Source organism: Homo sapiens, chromosome 20, assembly GCF_000001405.40.
Source record: "Homo sapiens chromosome 20, GRCh38.p14 Primary Assembly".
NCBI classification, from domain to species: Eukaryota; Metazoa; Chordata; class Mammalia; order Primates; family Hominidae; genus Homo; species Homo sapiens.
This window is the reverse complement of record NC_000020.11, coordinates 31,439,858-31,452,344: the sequence shown is the minus strand read 5'-3', so window position 1 is coordinate 31,452,344 and position 12,487 is coordinate 31,439,858. Positions and strand designations below refer to the sequence as shown.

General features: G+C 44.1%; 1 protein-coding gene across 2 annotated transcripts; it reads right to left on the bottom strand.

Moving 5' to 3' along the window:
• Positions 1-2,087: 2,087 nt before the first annotated feature.
• DEFB123 (defensin beta 123) lies at positions 2,088-11,713 on the bottom strand. 2 transcript variants are annotated; one of them, NR_126450.2, is made up of 2 exons: positions 11,589-11,713; positions 2,088-2,382 (listed from the first exon to the last, which is right to left on the bottom strand). NR_126450.2 is itself a non-coding variant. In NM_153324.4 (2 exons), exons 1-2 carry the CDS (start codon positions 11,644-11,646, stop codon positions 2,171-2,173), a joined length of 204 nt encoding a protein of 67 aa, NP_697019.1. In that variant the 5' UTR covers positions 11,647-11,713; the 3' UTR covers positions 2,088-2,170. The 2 variants fall into 2 exon arrangements, 1 of the variants encoding a protein (NP_697019.1); NM_153324.4 differs by having other exon boundaries at positions 2,088-2,316.
• Positions 11,714-12,487: the final 774 nt, after the last annotated feature.

Here is a 12,487-nt window from a genome sequence, read left to right as displayed (position 1 = left end):
TTAATCAATGAGCAGAATTGTGAAAAATAACAAATAGTTGTTATTTTAGTCTACTAAGTTCTGGAGTGGTTTTGTAATGCAGCAGGTGGAAAACAATACACTATACACTATTTTTCTGTGTATTTAAATTCTTCATCTTTTCATTCATTTTATCAATCTTCTAATTTCTTTAACATATTTATAATAGTTATTTTAAGGTTATCTGTTAATTCCAACAACTACTCCATCTGTATTAGTTTGTTCTCATACTGCTATCAAAAAAAAAAAAAAACCCTGAGACCAGGTAATTTATAAAGGAAAGAGGTTTAGGCCAGGCATAGTGGCTCACGCCTGTAATCCTAGCACTTTGGGAGGTCGAGGAGGGTGGATCACCTGAGGTCAGGAGTTCAAGACCAGCCTGGCCAACATGATGAAGCCCTGTCTGTACTAAAAATATGAAAATTAGCCAGGCTTGGTGGTGCACGCCTGTAATCCCAACTACACAGGAGGCTGAGGAAGGAGAATCACTTGAACCCGGGAGGTGGAGGTTGCAGTGAGCCGAGATCATGCCACTGCACTCCAGCCTGGGCAACAGGAGCAAGACTTCATCTCAAAAAAAAAAAAAGAGGTTTAATTGGCTCATGGTTCTGCAGGCTGTACAAGGAGCATGAAGGCTTCTGAGGAGGCCTCAGGAAACTTTTGAGCATGGCAGAAGGTGAAGGAGAAGCAGGCCTGTCTTACATGGTCAGAGCAGAGGGAAGTGAAGAGCGAGACAGTGCCACATACTTTTAAACAACCAGATCTTGTGAGAACTCTATTACAAGAACAGTACCAAAGGGATGGTGCTAAACCATTCATGAAGGATCTACCTCCATAATCCAATCACCTCCCACCAGGCCCCACCTCCAACACTGGGGATTACAATTCAACATGAGATTTGGGTGGGGACACAGATCCAAACTGTATCACCATCTTTGGGTCTGATTCTAATTGATTATTTTTATTCTTGATTATGGGTCATATTTTCCTGCTTCTGTGCATGTCTTATAATTTTAAAATTGTATATATGTCAGAAATTGTATTTAAGAGAACTATAGAGACTAGAATAGGTGTTATTTTTTCCTTAAGGGAGAGCGTGTCCTTTATTCTGTTAGACAGCTAGGACTGTTGTTAATATACCTCTGCAAGTCCCCGTGGGAGTGGTGGCTCATTCCTGTATTCCTAGCACTTTGGAAAGCTGAGGCGGGCCAGGAGTTCAAAACCAGGCTGGGTAACAAAGTGAGACCCTATCTCTATAAAAAATAAAAAATTAGAACAAAATACCTCTGCAAACCAAGACGATAAAGTGTTCTTATTTCTTGTGGTACAAAGTAAGTTGTGGGATTTCAAAGTAATGACTTATTATATGATAATGAAGGTACAGAGATTGATTATTACAGTTAATAATATAACCAAAGATAGTTTGTAAGAGGACAGTAGAATTACTGAGAACAAATTGCATGAATCTCTGAAAATGAGCATACTTATACCTTGAGCCTTCTACCTTAAAAAATTCTACACAAGAGCACATAAGCACATCTTTCGTCAGCTGCCAGAACAATTATGTCATTATATGTCATGGAGATTCCAGAAAATTCCCCTATACACTTGTGAACGAGAGAGCTTAAAAAAGTGAAAAATGTTGGGAGGCCGAGGCAGGCAGATCACAAGGTCAAGAGATCAAGACCATCCTGGCTAACACAGTGAAACCCCGTCTCTACTAAAAAAAAAAAAAAAAAAAAAAAAAAAAAAAAAATATATATATATATATATATATATATATATATATATATATATATATTAGCTGGGTGTGGTGGCGGGCACCTGTAGTCCCAGCTACTTGGGAGGCTGAGGCAGGAGAAGGGCATGAACCCGGGAGGCGGAGCTTGCAGTGAGCTGAGAGTGCGCCACTGCACTCCAGCCTGGGCGACAGAGCAAGACTCCATCTCAAAAAAAAAAAAAAATTAAAAAATGTCTTATTATTATTGTGAAAACAGTTGTGACATCCCAAACCACCCGAAAGGCACTCCTGGGAGCTGCTGGGGTTCACTAACAGGCAAACGCAGGGATCAGCCAGAGGTGTTTATTGATAGAGTGTGGGAATCCACTGGGAGCTTCATCTGCATTTTCATGGCTTCAGGCTTCAAAGCAGTTAAAATGGCCACCACCTTTCTTTTGGCTGGTACTTGGGCTTCACGCAGCACATTTTATTATTTATGCAGTAAACATAGACTCTTTCCTTCTTGGAGCATCTGTAACGGCATTTGCCATAAAGATTCCAGCATCTTTGGGTGCCACCTGACACAAAGCAGAAAGAAGGGAGACAGTATCAGTCCTAACAAGTAGGCTCCGGATTTGAAAGGTCTGTAAAAGAATGGAAACAGATGAGATAGAAGGTCCCTTGTTTCCCTTGCCTTTGACTCTTTTCATCTATCACTGTTTTTCCTTTACTCTGTTTTTTTGCTTCCCACCTTTGACTGAGAGAGTGACCTTGGTACATCAGCTGAATAAAGCCTTTATGTGTGCGGATTGTCTTTTTTTTTTTTTTTTTTTTTTTTTGAGATGAGTCTTGCTCTGTCACCTAGGCTGGAGTACAGTGGAATGATTCTGGCTCACTGCAAACCTCCTCCTCCCAGTTCAAGGGACTCTCCCACCTGAGTTTCCCCGAGGAGCTAGGACAACAGACATGTGCCACTATGCCTGGCCCACCCTGTAGTCTTTAAGTGCCTTTCTGTGCATGTGCAAGAGGAAACTACCAAAGGCCTGAGGGGGAGAAAAATACCAAACACCAAAAAGAAGTAAGCAGAACAATTCCCAGTGATTGCACAGGTCTGGGAATAGCTTGTGTTTCCACCTGCCTGAGTGGAAAGACCCTGTAAAATCTGCAGCATTTAGTACTCGGAAGGCTATTGCCTTAGTAGTGGGGGCTAAATTAACCCTAGACTAAAGAATACCCTGTACCCATCCTAACAAAGCTTAAACGTCAGTCTTGAAAATATTCATCTGATTCCCACTAACTTAGCTGCATGCAAGAAAAATATCTAACTCTTTAAAGGAGTGTAACAAAATACAGAAACTGAAAGTGTAAAAATATTTTTCAGGCATACAAAAAAAAAAAGCAGGAAAATATGACCCATAACCAGGAGAAAAACAAATCAACCAACACAGAAATGACAATGATGATGAAACTAGCAGACAAGGATGATAAAACAGCTATGATAAATATGCTCCAAGTAGTAAAAAAGGTGGAGGAAGCCATGAGCATGATGAGAAGAAATAAAGATGTAAAAAATATTCATGGCCGGGCACGATGGGTCAAGCCTATGATCCCAGCACTTTGGGAGGCCAAGGTGGGTGGATCACCTGAGGTCAGGAGTTCGAGACCAGCCTGACCAACGTGGAGAAACCCCATCTCTACTAAAAATACAAAAAAAAAAAAAAAAAAAAATTAGCTGGGCGTGGTGGCACATGCCTGTAATCCCAGCTACTCAGGAGACTGAGGCAGGAGAATCGCTTGAACCTGGGAGGTGGAGGTTGCAGTGAGCTGAGATCGTGCCATCGCACTTCAGCCTAGGCAACAAGAGCGAAACTCTGTCTCAAAGAAAAAAAAATATATATATGTATATATTCACATGGAATAGTTGAGATGAAACATTAAATATTAAATGAAAAACATACTAAGTGAGATTAATAGTAGGTTAGACTGAAGAAGAAAAGATAAATGAACTTGAAGACATAGCAACAGAAATCATCCAAAGTGAAACATGGAGAGAAAAAGATGGGGGGAAAAAAGAGCAGAGTGTCAGTGACCCATGGGACAATAACAAGTAGTCTAACATGCATATAATTGGAATACTAAAAGGAGAGGAGAGGGGAGGGGCAGGAAAAGTATTTGAAGTAATAATGGCTGAAAAATTTCAAGTTTGATGAAAACTCTAAGCCCATAGAACCATGACCCTCGGTGAACTACAAGCTGAATAAAACCAAAAGAGAAGCATGCAAAGGCACATAATAATCAAATTGCAAAATCAAGTGAAAGGAAAAAAATCTTTAAAAAGCCAGAAGAAAAGACACGTTATGTACATAGGAGAAAAGGTAAAAATACTGGAAGAGGCTGGGTGTGGTGGCTCACACTTGAAATCCCAGCACTTTGGGAGGCTGAGATGGGAGGATTGCTTGAGCCCAAGAGTTTGAGACCAGCCTAGGTGAGACCCTGTCTCTCCAAAAAAATAAAAAAATTAGGCCAGACGTGGTGGCTCACGCCTGTAATCCCAGCACTTTGGGAGGCCAAGGTGGGCGGATCATGAGGTCAGGAGATCGAGACCATCCTGGCTAACACAGTGAAACCCCGTCTCTACTAAAAACACAAAAAATTAGCTGGGCATGGTGGCAGGCGCCTGTAATCCCAGCTACTTGGTAGGCTGAGGCAGGACAATGGCGTGAACCCGGGAGGCAGAGCTTGCAGTGAGCCGAGATAGCGCCACTGCACTCCAGCCTGGGCGACAGAGCGGGACTCCGTCTCAAAAAAAAAAAAAAAAAAAAAAAAGCCGGGTGTGTTGGTGTGCACCTGTAGTCCCAGCTACTAGGGAGGCTGAGGTGGGAGGATCACTTGAGCCTGGGAGGTCGAGGCTGCAGTGAGCTGTGGTCACGCCACTGCACTCTACCCTAAGTGACAGAGTGAAACCGTCTCAAAGAAAGGAAAAAAAAAAACCAACACAGAAGACTTATTGTCAGAAACTGCACACTAGAAGATGGTAGAGAGAGATCTTTAAAGTAATAAAAGGAAAAAAGCCCAGAATTCTTTACAGAGGAAAAATATTCTAAAAGTGGAGAAATAGACTTTTTCATGTATTTGAAAACGGAGAACATTGATCACTGAAAGCTTTCACTACAAGAAATGCTAAAGGAAGTTATTCAGGCAGAAGAAAATGGTACCAGAGGGAAATCTGGATGTCTACATAAAGGAGTAAAGAGAATCAGAACTGATAACTATGGGTAAATGTAAACAACTTTTGTTCTCAATTAAACATTTATTTATTTTTATTTTTATTATTATTATTTTTTTGAGATGGAGTCTTGCTCTGTTGCCCAGGCTGGAGTGCAATGGCGCAATCTCAGCTCACCGCAACCTCCACCGCCCGGGTTCAAGCGATTCTCCTGTCTCAGCCTCCCGAGTAGCTGGAATTACAGGCATGCGCCACCACGCCTGGCTAATTCTGTATTTTTAGTAGAGACGGGGTTTCTCCATGTTGGTCAGGCTGGTCTCAAACTCCTGACCTCAGGTGATCCACCCGCCTCGGCCTCCCAAAGTGCTGGGATTACAGGTGTGAGCCACCGCGCCGGGCCTATTTTTGTTTTTGTTTTTGTTTTTTTTTTTTTTGAGATGGAGTCTCACTCTGTCGCCCAGGCTGGAGCACAGTGGCGTGATCTCGGCTCACTGCAGACTCTGCCTCCCGAGACATTTCTTTAAAAGATAATTGTTTAAAGTAAAATAACAGCATTGTACTGCGGAGTTCATAGCATACACAGAAGAGAAATGTATGACAATAGCACAAAGGCTGGGAGAGGTGAAATGGAAGTACAGTATACTGTTTTAAGGTTCTTACACAATGTGCGAATTGGCATGTTTTTATTTGAGGTGAGACTGGGGTGAAGCTGTCTGCTGTAAAACTTAGAACGAATTCAAGACCTGGTGCAGGAACTGCACAAGACCGGCCTAGAATATCTCGTCACTCCAGATAGCCAGTGTGAGCCTGTGAAACTGCGTTTGTTAATTAACAAAAGAACAAAGTGCTGAGAAACCCTCTTTTCTCTAATCACAACTCTCGGAAACTTTGTATTTGAAATCATATCGGCAAGAAGGAAACGTTATATTCTTCCCCCAGGAACTGAGCCTTTCAGTACAGAAAAGCAGCCTTCATTTCAAAGCCAGGTGCTGGTGTCAGATAAGGGGTTTTGGAAAACAAAATTCCACAACTCTCCTCATTTTGTACTTTCCATGGAAACAGGATCCTGAATCCGTTTCTCAGCCTAGGCCTGATGTTAATTCCTTTACACTTTGCCCTGTGGCCCTGCCTTGCTTTGAAGTCTATCAGACCCTGCTTCATTTACATTATACTGGAATCTGCCCTTTTCTGTCATCCTACAGTACCCTATTTGTTTCTTCGTTTGGTGACTCCTCCTGCGCCCCCAACCACCCACAGGTCCTTTGGTGTGCAGTTTCCTTTGCTGTGGTAAGTTAATAGATCTGACCGTCAGACTGCTAGTGTGTCCTTGTGGTCTTTATAAGATGGACTTGATCACAAGTAAGCTATCAAAGGTTACCAGGGATATGTAAAATAAGGCTCAAGGGTCATATTAAAGAAGCTCCACCTAGCCACGGATGGGACAATTTCAGTTTCCTTAAGCATAAAGATCGTAATGAATGCAAATTCATTAAATATAGTTAAATCCATGCATTTTTAATGATACAAAAATTATTTCGTCGGCCGGGTGCGGTGGCCCATGCCTGTAATCCCAGCACTTTGGGAGGCCGAGGTGGGTGGATCACCTGAGGTCAGGAGTTTAAGACCAGCCTGACCAATATGGTGAAACCCCCGTCTTTACTAAAATTACAAAAATTAGGCAGGCGTGGTGGCGTGCACCTGTAATCCCAGCTACTTGGGAGGCTGAGGCAGGAGAATTGTTTGAACCTGGGAGGTGGAGGTTGCAGTGAGTCAAGATCACGCCACTGCACTCCAGACTGGGCGACAGAGTTAGACTCCATCCAAACTAAAGAACAAAAAAATTATTTGATCACAATTTGGGGAGATAGGACAATAGATCATTATCTTCCAGATTCATAAATAAAGAAAAATCATCAAGCCTGTATTCTGTCTTTCCTATATGCACTGTACTGCTAAGAAATCAAATAGTAGACAATGAGGAGTATCTTTTTCATATGACTGTTCCAGCTAAATAAAGAATATCACTTAACAGAATATTATCATTTTGAAATGGCCAAAAAATTAATGGATCTAGGCTTTGAGCATCATTGATTCCTATTGTCCTAAAAGACAGACAACCAGATATTATGTGCCTCCTAATGAAAGAACATATCACCACTGAAAGTTCTGCCAAAATGGGAGAACTTGAGCCTGATCAAACCTCTGGATACAGGTGCTGATTTGCAGGAAATGCAGAGGTCAGAGGAACACATTGAATTTTACCTTGAGTATGCAATCAGCAAAATTTATATTGTGGAAAGTTATAGATCAAATGACTTATGTTTTTTCAACAGATAACTTGTAAAGATAAGAAAGGGATGAAGATGGAACCAGTAAATTAAAAAATTCAAGGAATCTAAAGAGATATCAGATTTTAACAGTATAAATAGGGTGTCTAGGGATGCCCCCCTAGCAATGAGACTGTAAAGGAATGCAAAGAACTGATTGCTATAAAAGTCAGGAGAGTGCTTAATTTGGGGGATGAAGACAATTGTGATGGATGGAATAGGTGGAGACGTTTTCGGAGTGACTGTCAATGCTCTGTCCATTGACCTGAGTGGTGGTTACAAAGATGTGCACTTATAACCTCCATTAAGCTGCACACTTGTATTATGTGGTGTGCAGCATCTGTGATTCTGTGTTTTAGTTTACAAAAAGATAAGGAAAAAGCCACCATTTAACAACAAAATCTCAATTTTTAATTTAAGAGTGTCAAGAGGAACTATTGGTGAGTGAAAGGAATGACACTCATACACTTTTTTAGCATCTGTGGAGCCTACTGAGCAATAACTTACACATTTTAAAACTATACACAGTCTTTACCTAGCAATTCCTTTCCAGATGTCTACACCAGGGAAATACTCACATGTATAGACTGAGAGGCCTATACACTGGAGATAAAACTATAAATGAGTGAGACACCTACCCTCAGAGAACTTCCAGTCTAATGAGGGGAGAAAGAGCCATTAAAAAATAGATACCCAGATATTTGATTAACTAGAGTATGATAAAAATTATAAAGAACGAACTCAGGGTGCTGTGAGGATGTATAATGGAAGGGCAGGTGTCCCACCTAAATCTCATCTCTGCTGGGTTTCTGGGCTTTACATATGTCTCCTGAATTCCCACAATTAACCTAACGGTGAGTATGACAATATTTTGAAAATATTGAAGTGATGCATATTTCAATCCCCTTTAATCATAAAATCCATTGGTTGTCAAAAAGCAGAATTGGGCAGAGTTTCTGGGTTTTGGGGGAATGGTGAACAACAGAACAGCAAACTCATTGCTCAGCTTAAATGAGATAAGGGTTGTGCATGGAAAGACCATTTTAAGGACCAACATTTGTTAAGGAAGTTCAGGGATTTCCAAATTTCAAAGAGCTCCTTTATACATTATTAGATGAACCTGGGGGGTTCAGACAATACCACTTCATCATAAGCTATAGGAGGCTAAGGCTGAGGGTCCAGCTAAAGTAGCTTCCATTTAACCTCTGTCACCACTACCATACCCAACAGGAAGTAGAGGGGAAATACTCTGCCCATAATTTCTGGGGAAGCTGGAAGTTTAAATCCAGCTCCCGCAGCAGCAGCAGTGGGCCTGAGAGCCCTGCTAGAACCCATGCCTCATTCTGCCAGCCTGATGGTGGACCCACCAACAAGCTAGGGACAAAGGCCTTTCGTGTGTCTCCTGCTAGCAGTCTACTGGTTGACCTGAACACTCAGGAAGTAGAGATAATTAATGTGAGAAAGGTAGGGGCAAGAGAGTCTCTTGCTATGAATACCCAGATTGGTCGAAAGAAATTGCCAACGCAGAAGACACTTACTCTCTGCCTCTTAGAGCATAGCTCAGGGAAACTGGTAGCTCTTCAGAGAAATTCTTATCTTTAGCATGGATATAGCACTGCATGGTGCTACCTGAAGGGGGATTAGAAATGGCTAAGGGAAGTGGCTGAGCATCACTGTCAGCTCTCTGTTGAATAAAATAGACCCAGAAGGTCCCCAGGTTCCCTTGTCTCTGGCTGAGATAGGAAAACCAGTGAGGGACCTGCCAAGAGTACACCCCTAGTGCAGAAGGCAGTAAGGGAGGGTGTGAACAGCCTTAACTTGGGGACCAGATGGAAGATCTGGCTGAGATGAAGGGTCGAGTCAGTGGGGACCCCAAAAGGGCTGAGAGATTTCATCAGTCATGAAATCCAGTAGTAAGTGCTAGCAGGACGCTACTAACCACATCCAACGAGGGTCGTGATCCCAGAAGTCAGTAAGGGTCCAGCACAGGACCTGACCCCACCTCCTTATGTTCCTATCCCAGGACCCTTGCACTTGCTGTTTTCCCCAGCTTGAATTTCCTTCCCTCCATAGCCACATGCTCACACCGGTTGTTCCCTCAGGTCACAGTGAGACATTCCATGAACAACCCCTTAAAAATGGCAAAGACCGGGCATGGTGGCTCAAGCCTGTAATCCCAGCACTTTGGGAGGCTGAGGCAAGCAGATTGCTTGAGGTCAGGGATTCAAGACCAGCCTGGGCAACATGGCCAAACCGTATCCTACTAAAAATACAAAAATTTGCCAGGCGTGGTTGCAGGCGCCTGTAATCCCAGTTACTTAGGAGGCTGAGGCATGAAAACTGCTTGAATCCGGGAGGTGGAGGTTGCAGTGAGCTAAGATCGTGCCTCTACACTCCAGCACTCCAGCCTGGGTGACAGAGCAAGACCCTGTCTCCAAAAAAAAAAAAAAAAAAAAAGCAAATGACCTTCCCCTTCCCCTGGTGTTCACTATTTCCTTTCCTGCCTATTCTGCTCACTGTACTCATTATCTGACATACCATATGTTTCATTTATTTTTCAAATTCTTTGGGTCCTCCAGTAGAAGGTAAGCTCCAAGAGGACAGAGATTTTGCTTATCTTGTTTTGTTCCCAGTTCTACCTCTAGCACCCATCACAGTGCTTGGAACAAGAAATCCATTCAACTGTATTTACTGAATGAAGCAATTAATTATTTGATGACATATCAAGTTACTTTTCCCTGTAACCAGATACTATCCCAGGAAAGAGAAAGGGTGATGGAAGAAAGAGACATGCTGAAAGACTCAACACTTATTCAAAAGAGATTGAATTAGCTTAGAAATCATTTTAAAACAGAAAAGACAAATATTGAACTGCTGAGTTCAGGCCCAGCCCCTATGTGCCTTGTCACCCTGGGTTGTAAGTGCTATTTAACTGTCTCCCCTAGTTTGCTCCCCTGGTGCCATGTCATTTATCTCTGTAGTCCTGCTCCTCCCACCACTAACTCCCACAGTCAGGATGGAAGTTCCTGGGAAAGTTTGGTGAGTTAGAGAAAATAGAGAAGCCATATTTCTTTTGCAGACCAAAATTTCAGTGTGTTCAATGTTGTTCCCTCAACCTGATATTATTACACACTTGATGTTATTGCAGTTTGAGAAATGAGGAAATTGATACTCTGAGCAGCTGAGCTTCTTGTTGGGGCTCACAGAGTCAGAAAATGATGGGGCAGGTTTTAACCCGGGGTCTGGGCTTTCCTCCCTACTCCAGGTGAGTGGTGTTTTAGGGCCTCAGGAAGACACAAGGACGGAGGTCAGCTTGTTTAGGAAATTCACACGTTTCTGACTCTGTAGAAAGGTTAGCCGACAGCCTTAGGGTGGGTGGAAACTTCTGCCAGATGAGCAGGAAGGGATAGGTGGCTCATGCTGGAATTGGTGGGTGGTAGGTCTGACCAGGGTCTTTCTCTGTTTAAACCTTCCCATGGGTCCCTCACCTGGCATTTGAGGCCCACTGAGACCTGGAGCTTGAATGCTTCCTCAGCTTTACCCCCGCCTCTCTCCTAACCCACCCCTCCATGTTATGCAGGTCCCCGACACTCCCATGCTCTCTCCCGCATCCAACCTTTGCATAGGCTGACCTCTCTGCCTGGGACACCCTTCTGCTTTCCCCTCTCCTTCCTTTTCTATTTTCGACTCACTTTTTAGGACTCAGGATATCCCTCCAGGAGGACTCTCCTTTCCCTCAGCCTGGGCTGGACCATGTGTACCCAGCCCCCTGGTTTCCCACTGCCACAGCCGTGTCACCCTGGGTTATAAATGCTATTTAACTGTCTCCTCCAGTTAGTTCCCCTGGCACCATGTCATTTATCTCCGTGGTCCTAGCTTCCAGCGCAGAGTCTGGCACAGAGACAGCTAAGTACAAATGAGCTTTCTCTCCCATTAAGGTAGCTGTGATCTTCACAAAGCTTCGTTCATTCTGGGGACTATTTTGCAAAAGGGCCATACCTGCCTCTCCTCTTTCCTGCTTCTCTTGCTCACCCCTCCCACTCCTCCTCACACACTAGGCCACCCCCACATGCTCCCTGGAGCTGGGCAGGAAGAGGAGGGATGGAGCCGCTGAGAGAGCAGCTCTGGATGTTGTAGTTGTCATCTATCAGCTGGCACCTGCTGCTGGTGAGGCGCCTCCTGCCTCCTATACGTGGTGCTAGATGACAACCTGCAGCCCATCCTTCTAGCCCTTGGGATTCTCTGACCAGGCCTTAGTCTCTAAGCCCTGCCCCTTCCTTAAGGAGGTTCAGGTTACCTGGAGTCAGCTGGGATAAGAGCAGCAGCACAGTCAAAGTCAGCAAAAGGAGCTTCATGGCTAAGGCAGCCCAAAATGAAGCTGCAAGTCCGATGCCACGGCTGAGCTAATGGGAGAAGGAGAGTGCCTGGCCTGTGGCTCGCACTCCCTCAGCTGCCCACGGGTACAGCCCTCACACTCTGACTGGACACCCCTCCCTTTGTCATTTAGGTCAGCAGGGAGAGGACAGCCAACAAGGTCCAGGGCCCAAGACTTAATATACTACCCGTTCCTTCCACCCAGCTCCAAACTGCCTGAACCCAGTGACCAGCAGGAGGCGCCACAAACACCGGCTCCGGAAGGTCAGGGAAGACGGCAGAGTTTTGAAGAATAAATACAAAGCAACAGGTAGATGAGCTGAAATGGGGTTCCAGGTGGAGGAATGTCTGTACAAAGGCTCATGTTGGTGTTGAAAATGAGAAATATGACATAACCAGAGCAAAAACTGAGAGGAAAACGGCAGAAAGAGATGAAGCTCCGAGCACCAGCCTGTCTGTCACAGCCCCCTGCTGGGTTCTAACATGCGGTGGCCCTCCCCCTAGGGTCATCCTTCCGCTTCCTCAGAGATCTGAGAACCAACCACTCAGAATCCTTCTTCTGAACTCGGGTTTTGAAAACTCATTCTTGGCCGGGCACGGTGGCTCACGCCTGTAATCCCAGCAGTTTGGGAGGCCAAGGTGGGTGGATCACTTGAGGTCAGGAGTTCGAGACCAGCCTGGCCAACATGGTGAAACCCCATCTCTACTACAAATACAAAAAGTAGCCAGGTGTGGTGGTGCATGCCTATAATCCCAGCTACTTGGGAGGCTGAGGCAAGATAATCGCTTGAACCTGGGGAGGCTGTGGTGAGCCGAGATCGC